The 19636-nt window shown below is 43.2% G+C and overlaps 5 annotated features.

Annotated features, from left to right (window-relative positions):
- Positions 123 to 1261: an enhancer, noted in NCBI's record as "E7". NCBI's record gives its function as "enhancer in telencephalon and midbrain" and the evidence as "EXISTENCE:transgenic organism evidence [ECO:0001131][PMID:16458883]".
- Positions 123 to 1566: a biological region, named in NCBI's record as "SOX9 enhancer E7". NCBI's record gives its function as "regulatory_interactions: SOX9".
- Positions 658 to 1566: an enhancer, noted in NCBI's record as "H3K4me1 hESC enhancer chr17:70215132-70216040 (GRCh37/hg19 assembly coordinates)". NCBI's record gives its function as "activates a minimal SCP1, AML or CMV promoter by ChIP-STARR-seq in primed H9 embryonic stem cells {active_cell/tissue: H9 hESC(primed)}" and the evidence as "EXISTENCE:reporter gene assay evidence [ECO:0000049][PMID:30033119]".
- Positions 14432 to 14931: an enhancer, noted in NCBI's record as "H3K4me1 hESC enhancer chr17:70201767-70202266 (GRCh37/hg19 assembly coordinates)". NCBI's record gives its function as "activates a minimal SCP1, AML or CMV promoter by ChIP-STARR-seq in naive H9 embryonic stem cells {active_cell/tissue: H9 hESC(naive)}" and the evidence as "EXISTENCE:reporter gene assay evidence [ECO:0000049][PMID:30033119]".
- Positions 14932 to 15433: an enhancer, noted in NCBI's record as "H3K4me1 hESC enhancer chr17:70201265-70201766 (GRCh37/hg19 assembly coordinates)". NCBI's record gives its function as "activates a minimal SCP1, AML or CMV promoter by ChIP-STARR-seq in naive H9 embryonic stem cells {active_cell/tissue: H9 hESC(naive)}" and the evidence as "EXISTENCE:reporter gene assay evidence [ECO:0000049][PMID:30033119]".

The raw sequence follows: 19636 nt of genomic DNA, 5'->3' as shown, positions 1-19636 counted from the left end.
TGCTAGGATTTACATCGGTTCTTCCTGATATTAAAACGTTCCCTTCCACTGCCCCTCCCCAGAACTGCCTTCCAGAAGGACCAGACTTGCCCATTTGCAGAAACTGGCAGTGGGGAGGGACAGTTCGAAGGCAGCCTTAGTAGCAACTGGCCGAGCTCTGCTTCCCAGCCACCCACCAGCCCTTCCCCTCCCCGACAATTTCCACTTGTTTCCTTCGGAGGAAACATGACTTTTCCCATTGACGGAACTCGCAGGCCAACAATACGCCCATGGCATGCCCCCCTTCCCTGGACCCGGCTTTGACGCTGGCATGTCCCTCTCCCCACCTCCCACCCCACCTGCCCTGACCTTCCCTTGTCGGGGACGTTCTTCATAACAATGTCTGGTCCGTGCTGCCCGGGGCTGCCCTTCTGCTATTAGCACCTAATGAAAATGTAACCGTATTTAACCCCCCACAGTCCTGGATGGCGAGAGAGCCCAAGTGGGTTTAATTCCTTTGTATGATAAGCATCCCGCTCTCCACTTGCAGGGTCCATCCCCTTTCTCCCTGGAGAGGACGCGGAGCTGTGTATGGCTAACTCGGACCTCTCAGCTGTCCGGGGCACAATGGGGAAAGTATCTTTTGTGGCAATAACGGCTTTGGGGAGGGGAGAGGGGAGGGTCCGGGCTGGTGGGGAGGGGGTGCAGTTGAAGAGGAGGAGAACAATGTGTGAGAAGCTGAGGCTCTGGGTTTCCCACACGGACCAATATGTGCCCCCACCCCCCTCTGGGAGAGACAGATCTGCAGCGACCAGCCCACAGCTGATCCCGCCTTGATTGGCTTTTTTTTTTTTTTTTTTTCATTGTGCTCTCAAGGGACGAAAATCCTTTTGTGGCGTGAAAGGAGAGGCGTTCCTGCCGTCCCCTCCCTCGAACTGATTGGCTATGTCACAAGATGGCCAAATCCACCCGGATTAATGTGCGGCCGGTCGGGCCGCGGTGTGAGGACGTCTGTGTCCGCCCCTTTGGGAGAGCGTGTCTGCTGCCCTGGGAGCAAGGGAGGGGGACATGGAGGGGCAGGCCACCACTTTCTTCATATTTATTATCCCCCCCACAGCCCCCAGCCCTGCAGGGATGTTTATTCATGGGCCACATCTGCTGGCTGGCAGGCAACATGTCTCTTGTTAGAAGGAATGCCTGGGAGTCCCCAAGGAGCCGGGAAAATGGGGCGCATTCCATAGGACCCGCCTTTTCGCTTTGCTCAGAGTCCTTCGGAGCTTTCCCAACCCACCTGTAATCTTAGCCTTCCCCACCGACCAGCTTCCAGCCCTTCATGGGGGGTGGCCCCAAGCAACTCACCTGGGGATTCTGGGTTCTCTTATCTCCTGTCCCCAGTGCTAGAAAGAAGGCACCTTCTCCCTCTGCTCTTTGTACCTTTAGTCCCTGCTACCTGAGCCACTCTTCCGCTGCCTAACTTCTTGTATAAATCAATCACAAGCCTTTAAGACTCGCTCAGATTTTGTCTCTGACTCTCCTGATGGGGAGCCCACTCTTCTTTCTCTGAGGTCTCATATTATTTTTGCACCTCTTTGATCACATTTACCACTTTTTACCCTAAATAATTATGGTTTGAGGGCATGCCATGCCTCCCCTCCCAACCTATAAGGTCTTATACTTATAGGTTGATACTTATCTCTGGTCCATCCTTGTCTAACCACCTGCCCCCAACTAATGCTGGTCATAGATGTGTGTCCCTGGGAGGCATCGCTCACCAGCTGTTGATTGAATGAAATGGGTGAATGCATGGAGAGAAGCATGTGGCTAGACCCACAAGTCTTGGATCTCTGTCATGGATGCTGGGATTAGTCTAGAAGGTATATAATGCCTCTTTCCCCTACTTCTAAAATGGTGCAAAATTTGCTCCAACATAGCTTCCCATGTGTCTGTCCTGTGTGCGGCTTTTAACAGTACCATGCATTTCAAAAAAGACACTGCAGAAAAGGATGGTCCCAACGCAAAGAGGACAGAGAGACCTATGCCCAGATTTGTGGGGACAAGACATCCCATTGAGTCGTTCACAGGCCAGTCTGTCTATAGGGTCAACTACATGGCAGTCAGGCTAATTATTACTTTTGGATTGGCAGCTGGAAATGTCTTTGCTGTTTTCTAATATAATTGATATTGACTTTTGGAAAGGGGACAGCCTGCAATATACTTAGGAATATGGGACTGGGTGTGGTGGCTCACGCCTGTAATCCCAGCACTCTGGGAGGCCGAGGCAGGTGAATCACCTGAGGTCAGGAGTTCGAGACCAGCCTGGCCAACATGGTGAAACTCTGTCTCTACTAAAAATACAAAAATTAGCTGGGTATGGTGGCGTGCGCTTGTAATCCCAGCTACTAGGGAGGCTGAGACAGGAGAATCGCTTGAACCCAGGAGGCGGAGGTTGCAGTGAGCTGAGACCACTCCACTGCACTTCAGCCTGGGTGACAGAGCGAGATTCTGTCTCAAAAATAAAATAAAATAAAATGAATATGGGCAAGGAAGAAAAATAGAAAAAATGTGGAAGAAATTGTGGTGTTTTTATGGATAAGCCAGGTCAAGGTTTCACAGGTTTTAAGTGAAGAAGTAACAGTAGACGAAGTTATGTTGGAGTTGTATAATTTTACCAGTGCTAGCAAGAGTTCCTGTGAGACCATGGCTTGTTCTGGTTCTGAGTGGGGGCATGTCAGTAAGTCTGTGGCAAGGGATGGGTGTGGCTTCTAAGTGGGTTGACCAACTTTTAGATGATGAGTAGGACATCTTTCAGGTACATGGTTGAGGGCCTGGAAGGCTCCTTCTTCCGGGAGAAACTGGAGAAGTGGAATGCGATCACAGAGACACTTTCACCTGTGCTATTAAATATTGCTTAACTGGTTGTGTTTCAGCCACTCACACTTTGGCATGAACTGATTCAATCAAATTGCCTCTCTTTTAAATCTTAGCTGATATTAGCTTCTCTAGGTAAAAGAAACTTGATTACTAGGGGTAGACCCAGGAGAAGCTGAATGAAAGTTTAGAAAACCCCAATACCCTCTGAAAAAGAACTCTAAGAGGGAGAAAAATGCAGAAAAGGAGGAGTGTGGTTGTCAAGCAAACTTCTCCTTCCTGCTCTTCCCCCACATTTTGCCTAAGATCATTCCTGTCTGGGAAACAAACTGGCAATGACTTCTTACTTTTCTATCCTTCTACTCCCAGAGCCCGGCATCCCATAGTTGGTGCTGAGGTTGTGCTCCCTTCTAGGTTAAATAAGGAGGCCTAAGAACCCAAAGCACCATTCAAAAAGAAAGAACAAAAAAGCCACATGAGTTCTTAGTTCCAATTAAGCTTTACAAAGTATTATTTGGAATACAATCCTTTCTCAACCTGGGATCAGTGCTTAGACTGGATGTGGGGAAGTGAAGTGAATTGGGGGATGGAGGAAGTGGCCAGGCCTCTGAGGGCATCTGATCCTTCTTGCTGGATTAGTGCAGAATCCACGGGGTTATACATAGCATGCATCTAGCATACATTTCAATATGTCAGCCAATGTGGTCCTGCATCAGTCTCTTGGGGTGTTAAAAATACAAATCTGGTCCCCCAGCCCAGACCTGCCTTTTCAGAATCTCTGAGAGAGGGCCCTGGGAATCTGTGTTTTAACGAGTACTCCAGGTCATCCAAGTAGACACGTCTCACTGTGAATGAGTAGAAGAGCTAAATGCAGACCCACTGTGGCTCTCTCAGAGCTCAGGCAGCATCTATTGTGCCCTCCTGAGAAGACGTTTAACCAAGAGGAGGTTGATGGTGATTTCTGAGTTAAGCAGCCTTAGGAGTGGTTAACACTTAAAATCAAACCTTGAAATTTATTTTCAATTCAATTTATTCTTCCAAGAGCCTACTAATTTTTCCTAAAAAGGATTAGTGTTAATAGAGAAAAAAAGTTAATATTCAAATATGAGGAACCACCTTTCCAAGACATAGGAGGTTAGAAGATGGTTTTGAAAAAGTGACAGGAAAATGAAAATTTTGAGAAAATGTTCTTTTTAAAGTGCTTGTCAGCTGGACATGGTGGCTCACGCCTGTAATCCCAGCACTTTGGGAGTCTGAGGCGGGCCGATCGCAAGGTCAAGAGATCAAGACCACCCTGGCCAACATGGTGAAACCCCATCTCTTCTAAAAATACAAAAGTTAGCTGGGCGTGGTGGCACTCGCCTGTAGTCCCAGCTACTTGGGAGGGTGAGACAGGAGAATCGCTTGAACGTGGGAGGCGGAGGTTGCAGTGAGCCAAGATCTCTGCACTCTAGTCTGGCGACAGAGCGAGACTCCGTCTCAAAGAAAAAAACAAGAGTGCTTGTCTATGTGTCTATGTGAAAGTCCTTTGTTGACAGGAAAAAGTTGAGTGCGTCTCTCTAAATAGGCTTATGCAAATTTCTATGCATTTGTTATCTGCATATGTGCATAGATAATACATTTATTCATTCCCATCCTTCTAAGAGCTCAGACTTAAAGACATAACTTTGTCTGAGAGGGAACTTGGCATGAATTGGCAACACTCTGGACATATAAGTCTCCATTTATAACTGAAGGTTGGATTGGGCTTAGAACTGTTGGGGGAAAGGCTGAACAGGAGATGGTCCAATGTTTATTAAAAAAGGACATCTCAGATAGGTTTTGGTTTATCAAAGGGAAGCATTAAAATGAGTATCGTTTTTCTAAAGTTAATCTGTCCTTTTATACCTAAAAATATAATTTTTTCTTGAATCAAGAAGAAACAACTTCAGCTCTGTTCTTGGTCTTAAGAAAATCTGCTGCACACATTTTATAAATGTCGAGTTAATTAGCACTGAGTTAGTGATGTCATAATGAATTATTTCTCATCAAAGCAGATGGGTCAAGAACAACTTCCTAGGACAAACAGTTTTCTAAAGCAAACATGTTAACAAAGTAGTTTCCTATAACATTCTTTGCCTCAAGTTTTCAAAACAGCAATATGGAGCCAAAATGTTAGAAACCTCAAAGTTGCTTTGTGAATTGTATATGTTTTCCTATTGATTGTTTTCATTTCATTTTTTATCATAGTTACCCTAGTTCTCTGACTTTTTTTGAAGTATAATAACATATCTATGGAAAAGTGCACAAATCATAGGTGAGCAGTTTGATGAATTTTATAAACTGAATATACCTGTGTAATCAGCGCCTGGATCAAGAAACAGAACATTAGGAAAAGTCTCTGTCTCCTCCTGATCTCTTTCAGCTACTCCTCCTCCTTCCCCAAAAAGGGAAGCCCCTGTCTTAACTTTGAACACCATAAATTTATTTGGCTTATTTTTGAATTTTATGTAAATGAAATCACATAGTATGTATGGTTTTGTGTCAGGTTTCTTCTTCTCAACATTCAGTCTGACTGTTGCATAAAGTCCCAGGTTATTTATTCACAGTTTGGTAAAATATTTCATGGCATGGAAATACCACAATTTATTTTTTTATTCTACTGGAGGTAGATATTTGGGTAGTGTCCAGTATGGGCTATTATGACTAGAACATACATACAGTTTAAAATCTTTTTTAAGCCATCTGACAAAGCTTGTGAGATGAATACAGTTTTGAATTGCTAAAATCCTATTGATTTTTTGACATATGATGCTAAAAAACCCCACAAATTCCCAAATTGTAAACATGTCATTGTGCTAGGTGTTCTGATAGAAAACACAAATTGTCTAAAACTGACAATTTGTTTTTGACAATAAATGAATTCAGTAAAGCTTGCAGAATGTTGCAGGAAACAAAATCAACATGCAAAAATCTGTAGCATTTCCATATGCCAACACATATCAATCTGAAAAAGAAATTTAAAAAATAACCCCATTTAAAATAGTGAAAAATAAAATAAAATACCTAGGAATAAACTTAACTAAAGAAGCAAAAGATCTCTACCATGAAAAATATTCATGCAAGAAATTGAAGAGGACACCAAAAAATGGAAAGATATTCCATGTTCATGGATTGGAAGAATCAATATTGTTAAAATGTCCATACTACCCAAAACAATCTATAGATTAAATGCAAACCCTATCAAAATGCCAATGACGTTCTTCACTGAAATGGAAAGAATAATTCTAAAATATATATGGAACCATGAAAGACCCAGAACAGCCAAAGCCATCCTGACCAAAAAGAAGAAAACTGGAGGAATCACATTACTTGACTTCAAATTATACTACAGAGTTATTGTAACCAAAATGGCATGGCACTGGCATAAGAATGGAGACATCGACCAATGGAACAGAATAGAGAACCCAGAAATAAATTCATTCATCTACAGAGAACTCATTTTCAACAAAGGTACCAGGAACATGTATTTGGGAAAGGACAGTCTCTTCAATAAATGATACTAGGAAAATTAGACATCCATATTCAGAGGAATGAGACTAGACCCCTATCTCTCACCATATACAAAAAAAAAAAAAAAGGGATTACAGACTGAAATCTAAGACTTCAAACTTGCATGAAAGTACTATAAGAAAACATTGAGGAAACCCTCCAGGAATTTGGTCTGGTTAAAGATTTATTGAATAGTATCCCCAAAGCACAGGCAACCAAAGCAAAAATGGACAAATGGGATCACATCAAGTTAAGAGGCATCTGCATGGCAAGGAAAACAATCAACCAAGTGAAGAGACAACCCACAGAAAGAGAGGAAATATTTGCAAACCATCCGACAAAAGATTAATAACCAGGAAATATAAGGAGCTCAAACAATAGGAAAATATCTAACACTCTGATTAAAAAATGAGCAAAAGATCTGAATAGATGTTTCTCAAGACATACAGGTGGCAAACAGGTCTATGAAAAGGTGCTGAACATCATTGATTATCAGAGAAATGCAAATCAAAATTACAATGAGATATCATCTTAACCCAGCTAAAATGGCTCTTATCCAAAAGACTGGCAATAACAAACGCTGGTAAGGATATGGAGAAAAGGGAACCCTTCTACATTGTTAGTGGGAATGTAAATTAGTACAACCACTATGGAGAACATTATGGAAGTTCCTCAAAAAACTAAAAATAAAACTGCTGTATGTTCTAGCAATCCCACTGCTAGGTATATACTCCTAAATAAAAGAAATCAGTATATCAAAGAGGTATCTGCACTCCCACCTTTATTGCAGCACTATTCACAATAGCCAAGATTTGGAAGCAACTTAAGAGTCCGTCAACAGACAAATGGATAAAGAAAATATGGTGCATATACACAATGGAGTGCTATTCAGCCATAAAAAAGAATGAGATCCTGACATTTACAACAACATGGATAGAATTAGAGGACATTATGTTACATGAAATAAGCCAGGCACAGAAAGACAAACTTCACATGTTCTCACTCATTTATGGGAGCTAAAAATTAAAACAATTGAACTCATGGAAATAGTAGAATGATGGTTACCAGAAGCCAGGAAGGGTAGTGGGTGGGGTGGGGAGTAGGGGTGGTTAATGGGTACAAAAATATAGTTGGATAGAATAAATAAGATCTAGTATTTGATAGCATATCAGGGTGATTACAGTCAACAATAATTTATTGTCCATTTTAAAATAATTAAAAGAGTATAATTGGATTGTTTGTAACACAAAGAAATGATAAAAGCTTGAGGGGATGGATACTCCATTTACCCTGATGGGATTATTATGCATTCATTGTATGCCTGTATCAAAATATCTCACATATCCATAAATAAATACACTACCATATACCCATAAAGTTTTTTTTTTTAAAATAAATAAAACCATGTCTGTCTGCCACTATAAAAAAGAAAAAAAAAAAAAAGAAATTGTCCCTGATCTCCTGACATTATCATATAAAATAGGCCAGAGCATTAGCCTGAGAAAGTAAGTACATGGAGGATGTGAAGGTACTGAACGAGCATGGCACAATGACATAACAAGCGTGGCACAATGACATAACATATTGAAATGTTCATACTTTGCGCTTTGAAGTTTTTATGTAGAATTATTAATGTAACCTGTATTATTAGTGCCTGTGTTTCATGTGCACTTGGCCTGATTTACACAGAGAGCCTAGTACTGCTGGGCCCTGCGAGAATTGAGGGCTGAGCCTGGAAAGTCTTATCAGCTGGCCTTTCCATCTCTCCCATCTCTTGGGGGCCAAATTGTCTCTTATTTTCTGCTTTTCTCAATCTATCTGCTTCCCAATCCCTTTTCCAAATTGCTCTGCTGCATTTCCTTGTAGTTTCTGCTACTCTATAACGTTGTGTACGTGACTTTGGTTGGCCCCACGCTGAGCCAGGAGGGCACTCTGCTTTCTCACCTCATTACTGTACTCCACCAGCTGATTAGCAACAAATCTTTATCTGCATTTTCTAATCCTTAAATGCCCAGGGGTGGAATCTGCTGGGTTCAGCTCATCTTTTGTTCACTTGGTGAATTGAATTGCTTGCCTGAGGGTCGGGGGCGATCTACTTAGCTATCATTTGTGTGGTGGGCACAGACTACCTGACTGTCTAGTGCAGGGGGCTGTGGGTGAAGATTCTTCCGAAAGGGAGAGTAGGTGGACTTGTACTTGGATGTCTAGTAAGGCTCCATGTTTTCCCAACTGCCCTTGAATTTCTCAGAAACACTTGGAAAATAAGCTCTATCCTGCTCCATGTTATTTTGGTTGGGTTTTGCCCTGAAGGAAAGATTCCCTGCACATGGTCCTAAGGAATGTCAAGTACATTCTTTAGACACTCATTTAGTAGGCAGTGTTACATAAATGCAGGACCAAAAAATGTTTAATGCCTTGATATTTGCCTCCACACTTTAACACATTTAGGTTTGCAATATCTGCACAACTGTGACAGATATTGCAAAAATATTGCGAAGACTACTTATTAGCGTGGTTTAGAAAAGTTACCTGTATCAGATGGGCTGGGAAGCTGGGACTGGATAAGCTTTAAGGTCACTGCTGACCTGGGAATTCTGTGAACCCAAGAATGAAGCTGGAGCCCTCCAATTCTGTCTGTGGCCAGGGATGAAGAAGGCCCTTCTTTCACTTGTTGTATGGAGATAGCTTCCTTAGCATTCATCACTGTCATCATTAATTTTGATATTGAAGTTCACCAATTCATTCACTCATTTTACAGTTTTATCCAAATGCTACATTTTCCTCCACGCAGCCCAGAAACAACGAGCACTGTCCTGCACCACAGGGATGGTGAGCACAACAGGTTGGGGCAGTGAACCTGCAAGCTGTTGCAGAGCCCTGTTTAAACTGGGACCAGGGAAATGAATGCAGGTGCCCAGGGGCCCCGCTCTAAAATGATGGTACTTTTTAAAGAGTAGCAAACACATTCTTGATTCTAACTGGCTTGGGTAGGTCCTTGGCTTTTTTATGGGGAAGGTATTCTGTGATTAAGAACACTTTTTCGGCCGGGCGCGGTGGCTCACACCTGTAATCCCAGCACTTTGGGAGGCTGAGGTGGGCAGACCACAAGGTCGATAGATGGAGACCATCCTAGCCAACGTGGTGAAACCCCGTCTCTACTAAAAATACAAAAATTAGCTGGGCATGGTGGTGCACACCTGTAGTCCTAGCTACTCAGGAGGCTGAGGCCGGAGAATCGCTTGAACCCAGGAGGCAGACGTTGCAGTGAGCCAAGATCGTGTCACTGCACTCTAGCCTGGACAACAAAGCGAGACTCCGTCTCCAAAAAAAAAAAAAAAAAAAAAAGAACACTTTTTCTTAACAGAAGATGTCTGTACTTTAAAGCACTGTTTTCCCAAATCTATGCTCCTCTCTCTTCCTATTGGCTCTGATGACTGCTTTTTCAAAAAGTTATATACGTACATGTATATATGTATATTCACATACATGTCTATATACACATACATACATATATGTAGGCATATAATTAAATGGATGGCATATATACAATACTTATATACACGTGTGTGTGTGTGTGTGTGTGTATGCAGCCATGCATCGCTTAACAACAGGGATACATTCTGAGAAATGCATCATTAGGAGATTTTTGCCATGGGAACTTCATAGACTACTTATACAAACCTAGATGGTGTAGCCTACCACACACCTAGGCTATAGGATATGGCCTATTGCTCCTAGGCTACAAATCTGTACAGCATGTTGCTGTATTGAATACTGTAGGCAATTGTAACACGATGGTATTTGTGTATCTAAACACAGAAAAGGTACAGTAAAAAATACAGTATTATAATCTTATGGGACCTCCATCATTTATGTGGTCTGTCCTTGACTGAATGTTGCTATTCCAGGCATGACTGCATACATAATTTTATTAAAAAGCAAAGTGGTCACAGAGCCAATATGACTTGCCATCCCTATGAATCCCTAGAATGTTGGAGCTGAAGACACCTCTTTGTTTCTATAAAGAGAAACATAGAGAGTGAAGATGATTTGCTCAAGTTGGAAGAACAAGTGAGTAAGAGGACTGAGGGCTAGAACTCTGGTGTCCTCTTCCCAGGCCAGTGTACTCTCCCCTGCTTTCCCCCCTGGCTGCTTCCCCTCTGCAGTGAGGCAGGGAGGGCTGAGTTAACAGGGAACAATTGCCACGCTCCCCCCAGGTGGGATGTGTGCAGGAGGGGGCCTGGTGAGGCCGTGTCTGGGACTCTTCTTACCCTTGGGAGGAGCAGGTGATTCTGAGAGGACCGACCAGCTAACATGCCCAGGTGCCCATGATGAGCACGCCGTGTTTTAATCCAAGGAGAGAGGCATTTCTATCCCCTGCGTATTTTCAGTGCCTGTCTCAGTGCATGGGACAAAGCAGAGTTCCAAGAACGTTTGCAGAACCAACTTTCTTGTTTAATTGACTTTCAAATGTAAATAACTGTGGGACCGGGCTTGTGTTTTAAACCTTCACTTGCCATCTATCCTGCGGCAGAGATGTTTGAATGAATGTTTGGAAGACAGGTTTTATATCAGGGAGAAGGAGATAGTGTGTAATCACTGGGTTCTGGGAATGAGGGTAAAATGAGGAGTTAGAAAAAGTACGGACCAGGGAGACAATAGCACCAAAGACAAATATCGAGTTATTTTACAGTTTGCACCAAGACCATCCTGCCCCCAGGGCCATGGCACCCATCAGAGAGGCCTCTCCCTATGGCCGAGCCAGCACCCTGGAGGAAATCAGACCACGTCCTTCCCTTCCTGGGTATTTGTTCATAATCTGTTTCCCCTGTTGATAGATGTTTCCTGTCTCTTCCTTTCTGGCTTTAATCTCATGACTGGTCATTTGAGACCAATTTTTAGCCTAGCATCCTTACCTCTTGAACAGTCACTGCTATGGTCATTGCTGCCAATCTTACCCCCCTATACCCTGGCATGATTCCTGTGGCCCTTCCCATCCTTTGATCTGTTTCTTAGTCCTAACCTCTGTCCACCCACAGTATTACCATTTATCTCATTATACCAGGCTCTAGATATGTGTGCTTATTTCATTTGATTCTCATAATAGTCTTGTGAGAGTTAAAGTACATATTTGCCCATTTTACAGATGAAGAAACTGAGTTTTCCTATTCAGTAAGTGGCCAAGTTGGAATTCAAACTCTCAGTTGTCTGACTTTAAAATTTCTGCTCTTTTAATTACATCAAATAATTGTCTTGCACCATGAGTTCTTAAATTCTATGCTCTCCATTAATGCCATAAAATGATCACTGGTGGGTCTTCAACAATCCAGTCTTATTCAGGTCTTTTGTTCATTCTTCCTTCCACCTTTGACGTATCCTTAGCGTTCTGGCTCCATCACGTCCATAGCATCTGGCCAGTTGTGCCACACTTCTGCTGTCCTGCCAGTCATTAAGGTACATCAACAATTTTGTGAAGTCTTTTCTTTGCTTTTATCAACATCAGTTAGAAATTCATTAGTTTTAAGAGTTGAGCTGGCATTTTAAAATTAAATGTGGAAAAAGGGATTTGATGGTACTCTGATGTCGTTAAACAGGATTTAATTGGGGGTAGAAAAAGTCTTGGTTGGCTGGGCAAGGTGGCTCATGCCTGTAATCCCAGCACTTTGGGAGGCCGAGGCGGGTGGATCACCTGAGGTCAGGAGTTCGAGACCAGCCTGGCTAACAATGGTGAAACCCCGTCTCTACTAAAAATAACAAAAATTAGCCGGGTGTGGTGGCGGGCACCTGTAATCCCAGCGACTCGGGAGGCTGAGGCAGGAGAATCACTTGAACCCAGGAGGCAGAGATTGCAGTGAGCTGAGATCGTGCCACTGCACTCCAGCCTGGGCAACAAGAGCGACACTCCATCTCAAAATAATAATAATAATAATAATAATAATAATAATAATAATAATATAAAGAAAAAGCCTTGGTTTAGGGTGTCCACATCATTCATTAATTCTTCACTCATTCATCCAACCCATCAGAAATATTAAAAATCCACTGAAGACGGTTACTGAACAGAAATTGGGGATACCAATATCAGCAAATCCCAGTGGCTTCTTTCCAGGGTCTGAGCCCCCCAGTTCCCAGCCTAACAACACTGTCTATAGTGCCTCTCACTGAGACAACTTAAAAGAACTCTGGAGAAAGGTGCAGAGGTCCTTGTCATCAAATGCATTTTGCAATCACATGGTCAGATTAACCCTCCTGCATTTAACAGATCTCCTTCTCAGTTAGCACCCCTTGTCATTTCTTGGATCTATAAATAGTGGTGGCAAGCCTGGAGACATTTCTGCAAACATCAAGGGCAGATTTATACTCCAGGTTATGAGAGCAACACAGCAGCTTGACCTTAATTTCCAGAGTACTGAAAGCTCATCTTTAGGCAACATTTCTTATTGGTCAGTCCTGCCAAGTTTCAAGAAGGTAAAGGAGGAATAAAAGATAGCCCAAAAAAGAGCCAAAAAGATGGAACTGTTTCTGGAGGGTTATTTAACCTGGAGCAGCATGACTTGAGGAGAGTTAATGCCTACCTTTTTACCTGTGGAAGGAAGAAGTAGGAAACTAGCACCCGCAGAGTATGTATCATGGGCCACGTATTTCTGCTCCAGCTTCTGCTATTCCCTATTATATCCCAGTGAAATTGATATTATTGCTAGACTTTCACACATGAGGAAACTGAGGCTTGGAGAGGGCAGGTGACTAGCTCCAGTGGCTCAGTCTCTTAGCAGCAGTGTTAGCTTTGGATCTGATTGGGTCAGCACCTGAATCCATGCCCTGTGCTCCACGACAGTGAGGGTTATCCTCTGCTGATGGTAGTTGGATCTTGTTCCATTCTTCACTAGCACTGAGATACAGAAGAAGAAAAGGTAAACTTTGCAAACTGAAGACTTTTACATTTAAATTGAGAGTTCAACTGAGGAGAAAAAAATCCAGGAAACTTACTGATCAAGAGCTTAGCGAGGAGACAGACTTGAGTTCAAATCTTGGCTCTGCCAATACTTTTCTGTTTATTACTTATATGGCCTTACGGGAGTTTTGAGTCTCATTTTTCTCATCTATAAAATAGGATTGGGGGATTAAATATCATAAGTATAAATTGCAAGCCATCCTTAACACATAAGACAAGCCCCCGTATTAGCAGGTATTATTGATATGAGGGTCTTTGCCACATTTGGGCTCTTGATAGATTTTCTCATTTTAGGCATATACTTTTGGGCCAACCTTGGAGTGACGATGCACTTGGCATGTTCACACGCTGAGTACACTCAGCTTCCTTAAACAGCCTCTGCAGTTGAAAACCAGTCATTGGAATAATTCTGCTGCAAAGGACCCTGATCATTTTCCCTCTGGCTTTCGGATCTCAGAGCTGGAGCTGTAGAAGATGGTCTAGGAGTTCAGGCCATGTGTTCCTCCACTCTCTCCTTCAGAAAAAAATAGCAGAGATCTGCAGATGCAGGTGCATCTCCTTGTGATTCCAGTTGGTGAAAGGCATGATGCAGAAGATAATGCAGAAAAAGCTTCCCTGTGCCATGCCATGCAGAAATGGGATCATGCAGGCAGGGATCATGAATGCTGACGACTGTCAGTGAACTACCCACAGATTCCAGGTCTGACCCAGCCACACACAGAGAAGGGAAGAGCCAGAATTTCTCAGCTGCAGCAACAGGTTCCCCCTAAGAGCACAAGTTCCCTAAAGCGTCCCTGTTAGAGACCCCATGACACCTGGAGCTGCAAGACTGTCCCAGGCAACGACTTCGTTGATAGAAAAAAAGGAAAAGCATTTAAGTTTGAATGAAAACCAGGACCCCTCAGAATTTGAGGGGTTCCACATGTGCTTTTCTTGAGGATCCCAGTATATTAAAAATATTTACAAATTCAAGGTTGTAATAATTTGGTATTTTTAAAACATTTATGTTGAATAAATGCACGCTCATTTTCAACAACACTCAGAATCGCAATGATGTATTCTCATGTGGAGATTAAGTCAAAACCCTGAACTTAAGGGTGCTTTGGACATAATGCCCTGTCTTGCTGTAGGATTGGCTGGGTAAAGGAATTCTCCTGACATCACGATCTTGCTAATGCTGTAGGACTCCTGGTCCTTTATTAGCCTTAACTATGATCCAAGAGAAGTTCTAAGGCTTGGGGCTCATGGTCAGGGTGAGGTTTTCTAGGAGTCCAGCCCAAAACTCCAATCACTGGGACTTGGCTGGAATGAAACAAGAACAGCAAAATCTGACTTCCCAAATCCCAAATTTGGCCTTCAGGACCCCCTCATCCTTGGACCAGATCCCTCCCTATTCACACCTCCCACCCCCACCACCCTGACAGCAGCTGGAGTCTGTGCAGCAAATTCCCCCACACTCCTCCTGAAGCTCTCTGGATGCTGCCCCAGTGGGCTCGGGGCTTTCGATGAGATTTGATTTTCCCGATGGAGGTGAAGTGGCCTTTGAGGCCCCGTGGGAGGGGGTGGTGGTGGGGAGGCGGGCAGCCCGGCCGGGACTGCTGACTGTGTGAATGTGGCAGGCTCATTGTTCCTCAGCTTTATTCTTCAGGCCTCGATGGGGCTGATTTAGAAATCCTAATCAGGGAGCTCTCAGGGCTTCCCGGGTGTGACACAACTTGAGCGGCTCTGGGGGATTCTTTGTTCTCTGATGACAGCTGACTTGGTCGCCAGTGGGAACAGTTTGAGCATAACTCGACACTGCATGTGCTGGCAGCTGCGGCCTTAACTCTTTGTTACCCACTCCTGAGTTCCCTCCACTTGCCCGATCCTTCCTCAGAATGGCAACTCTTAAAAGTACCTTTCTGTGGATGGATGAGGAGGGCGGTCAATGCTGAATAGGGGAGGGGCACATTGTGTCCCACAGCAGGGACATTCTTGGAAAATCAAGAGTGTCCCCACCCCCATGCAATTCCACTTTGCCAGCAGTAAAGGCTGCCAAACGATGACCATTCACCGTCCACCCAGGTGCTCGGGTAAACTTTTTTTCGGCCTGGCAGAAGCGACAGGAGACAGAGGGACAGGGATCTTCAGTGCTCACGCTCTGAGGCTTCTTCTGATCTAAAAACAGAGCCAAGCAGTTCAGGATGTCTGCTGAGAAGGCTTCAGAGCAATAGCAGAAGGGGATTGGATTTGGAGCTGGGTAATCCTGCACTGGACTGCGGCATCTCCATTTGACCAAACCCTGGCCAAGTTGTTTCATCTCTCCAGGCCTGGGTACGTTCATCTGTCAAAAGAGAGCTGGCTATAATTACAGCGCGACCCCATGGAATTGCTGAGGATCAAAGGAGATAGTGCGTGTGAAGGTCTGTCACAGGCGTTACTAAATGACTGCTGCTGTGGCTCTGATGCCGTAAACTCTCTCCAAACAGAAGATGCTACTGCTCAGGAGACACAGAAGAGGTGAAAGCTGCAAATGTCTTTGAAATCAAATCGTTATGTAGTTTCTCTCTCGGGTTCTGAGCTAGGAGGGCAGCCACAAGAAGTTTATTAGAAAGTGATGTTTGGTATCATATTCGTTATTAATTCGACAAACTTTGAGCACTAGCAATAAGCTAGGTTCTGAGGCTAACAGAGATAATTAAGACATAGACCTGACTTCAGGGAGCTGTGACAATAAAAGTGGGTGCATAGTTAGGATCCTTGGTTGCAAATACAAAAACTGGAGCTTCAAGCATGATCAGGTTCCTCTTTGTGGCCCTGCTTCCACTTCTCTGTGTTTATTGGCTCCATCATTCTGTCTCATAGGAGGTTCCTGTAAAGCATGGTGGACAACAGAGATTGAAACCATTCCTGAGTTTGGCATTGCATAGAATTCCTGGTAAGGGGCTGGGCATGGTGGCTTATGCCTATAATCCCAGCATCTTGGGAGGCCAAGGCGGGTGGTTCACTTGAGGTCAGGAGTTTGAGACCAGCCTGGCCAACATGGTGAAACCTCATCTCTACTAAAAATACATAGATTTGCTGGGTGTGGTGGTGGGCACCTGTAATCCCAGATACTCAGGAGGCTGAGGCAGGAGAATCGCTTGAACCCAGGAGACGGAGGTTGCAGTGAGCCGAGATTGCGCCATTGTGCTCCAGCCTGGGTGAGAAGAGCGAAACTCAATAATAAAAAAAAAATATTCCTGGTAAGGAAACTCATTGACCCAACCATGGTCAAATGCCCACACAGAACTGGGCGATTCTGGCCATGGGGCAGGTTCATGTTCTAACATGGTCATCTCCTCTCAACCCCTGTGAATGGGGACAGGGTGATGTGGCCAATTTGCAAAAGAATTACTGGGGAGACAAGAGTACAGGAAACCAATACAGGAGCAAGAGCCAGATAATAAAACGAGTCTGGATGTTATCCCTAGGCCAAAGGGAATCACTGAAAAATTTAAACTGAGGAATAAAACAGCTGTGTTTATATTTTTCAACTGTAATGTTAAGAGCAAATGGATAGGAAGAGGTGATTTGGGAAGTAGAGAGACCTATCAGCAGGCTATTGCAATAGTCCAGGCATGAAATGGTGAGGGTCTAAAGTGGGGTGATGAACAACAGGGATGGCCAGAAGGTGACAAATACAAGAGATATTGAGGAGGTGGAACCAGTATAACCAGTAACTAAATCCTGGAAGAAAGAGTGAAATATTAAAGGCGATCTTCAAGTTTCCATTCAGAAAACAAGTTTTGAGATACAGATTATAGCAGTTGTCCTGGACTGCTTTGGTCTGATAAATTGGTGGGTCAGTGAAATCCCCAGATATTTTCATATCCATTTTAAAATCTATCTATCTATCTATCTATCTATCTATCTATCTATCTATCTATCTATCTATCTATCTATCTAATCTATCTATGTATCAATCTATCCATCCACCCACCCTATCTATCATCTATCTATCTATCTATCTATCTATCTATCTATCTATCTATCTATCTATCTATCTATCTATCTACGATATGAGGGGATTGGTTTGGTCCCTTGGAGAGCAATGAGGAAACAAGGATAGGTAGCAAACAGAATGGTGACCATTCCCTAGCTTGGCCCCAGATGCAAACCTGATTCCCTATAGAAAAAGCAGCTGCAAGCAGAAGTTCAAAGTCAGAAATGAGGTATATCTAGGTGACATTATGAGACCCAGTGTTGGGGTATGGAGAATTTGCTCCATTGCTTTGAGGCTATAGAAGTGACAATAGCCCAATGAGGACTAAGGGACATCCTTTGGCATCTCCAAGTTCTCCTCTTTCTGCACCAACTCGGCAGCCTTCCAGAGAGCACCACCAGCAGCAGCAGCAGCAGGAGTGAGGCCTCAGCTCTAGGGTACTACATTGGGTGCAGTCATAGAGCAAAGCATTGCTGGCTTCTATACTTAAATTCCAGCATTATCCAGAGTAACTTTGCTTTCTTCCATATTAAGATTTCAATGGGAACAAAGGGTTCCACTGAAATAGTATCCTATATGAACATACACTTCTCAAAAGAAGACATTTATGCAGCCAACAGACACATGAAGAAATGCTCATCATCACTGGCCATCAGAGAAATGCAAATCAAAACCACAGTGAGATACCATCTCTCACCAGTTAGAATGGCGATCATTAAAAAGTCAGGAAACAACAGGTGCTGGAGAGGATGTGGAGAAATAGGAAAGCTTTTACACTGTTGGTGGGACTGTAAACTAGTTCAACCATTGTGGAAGACAGTGTGGTGGTACCTCAAGGATTTACAACTAGAAATACCATTTGACCCAGCCATCCCATTACTGGGCATATACCCAAAGATTATAAATCATGCTGCTATAAAGATACATGCACACGTATGTTTATTGCGGCACTATTCACAATAGCAAAGACTTGGAACCAACCCAAATGTCCATCAATGATAGACTGGATTAAGAAAATGTGGCACATATACACCATAGAATACTGTGCAGCCATAAAAAATGATGAGTTCATGTCCTTTGTAGGGACATGGATGAAGCTGGAAACCATTATTCTCAGCAAACTATTGCAAGGACAGAAAACCAAACACCACATGTTCTCACTCATAGGTGGGAATTGAACAATGAGAACACCTGGACACAGGGTGGGGAACATCACACCCTGGGGCCTGTCGTGGGGTGGGGGGAGTTGGGAGGGATAGCATTAGGAGATATACCTAATGTAAATGATGTGTTAACGGGTGCAGCACACCAACATGGCACATGTATACATATGTAAGAAACCTTCACGTTGTGCACATGTATCCTAGAACTTAAAGTATTAAAAAAAAAATAGTATCCTATTTTCTTATGGTGGAGGAAAAATTGGAATTCAGGACATCAACTTAGAAGCAATTGATACCGTTTAAGGGAGAAGTTAATGAGGCCCTAAAGTAGGTGGTGGCAGTAGACATGGCAAGGTGGGAGCTTTATGAAAGACAACGAAGAGGTGGGCTCTTAAGGGCTTGCAAGTTGCATGAGGGGGGCAAATGAACAGTGAGGAGCAATGATGATTTCTAATTTGGAGCCTTGGCAAAGGAAAATGGCATTTCTGTTAACAAAATTAGAGGAGTCAGCAAGACGACATGGATTGGTTTGGAATTCAGTGAGTCTAAGACACATACAGATCTTTATCTGAGGAGGAAAAAAATAATAAAACATAAATGTATTAGATCCTGGAACAGGTAAGGCCAAGATACTAGAGGTAGTCTCTTATCATGAATCTTTTGAGGTATCTGTGAGCATAACAATTATAGGGCCAGGGCAAATGATAACTGCTATTGGAGAATATGTTTGGGACTAGAACTGGAGACTTCCTGCTTTGGGGAAAAATGTTTAGGACTAGATGGATTAGTGTTATTTCCAGTGACGGCTCCACCTAGCATCTGTCTATTCATCCATCCATCTACCCACCCATTCATTTATCTATCCACCTGTCATCAACCCATTCATCCATCTATCCAGCCAACAAAATAACCATTATTTCTTGAACACCTCATATTTTCTTGACTCTGCACTTTTAGAGAACCGAAGAACAAAGTACAACTTAATTTCTGGATTAGGGGAATATAGCCAATAAATCATGAAATCTTCAAAAGGAACATTTGGCATCAACTTGTCAGTACTTTTGCTCGTGTAACAGGTCAGAATAACTAGGAAGTCTTTTTGCAGACCAATCATCTAGTTCATGCTTTGTTTTAGCTAAATGGCAAATAGGTTAATTCCAATAGAATGCCTAAAATTCT

This window comes from Homo sapiens, chromosome 17 (assembly GCF_000001405.40).
Source record: "Homo sapiens chromosome 17, GRCh38.p14 Primary Assembly".
NCBI classification, from domain to species: Eukaryota; Metazoa; Chordata; class Mammalia; order Primates; family Hominidae; genus Homo; species Homo sapiens.
The sequence above is the reverse complement of the archived record's forward strand: the minus strand, read 5'-3'. Positions and strand labels throughout refer to the sequence as shown.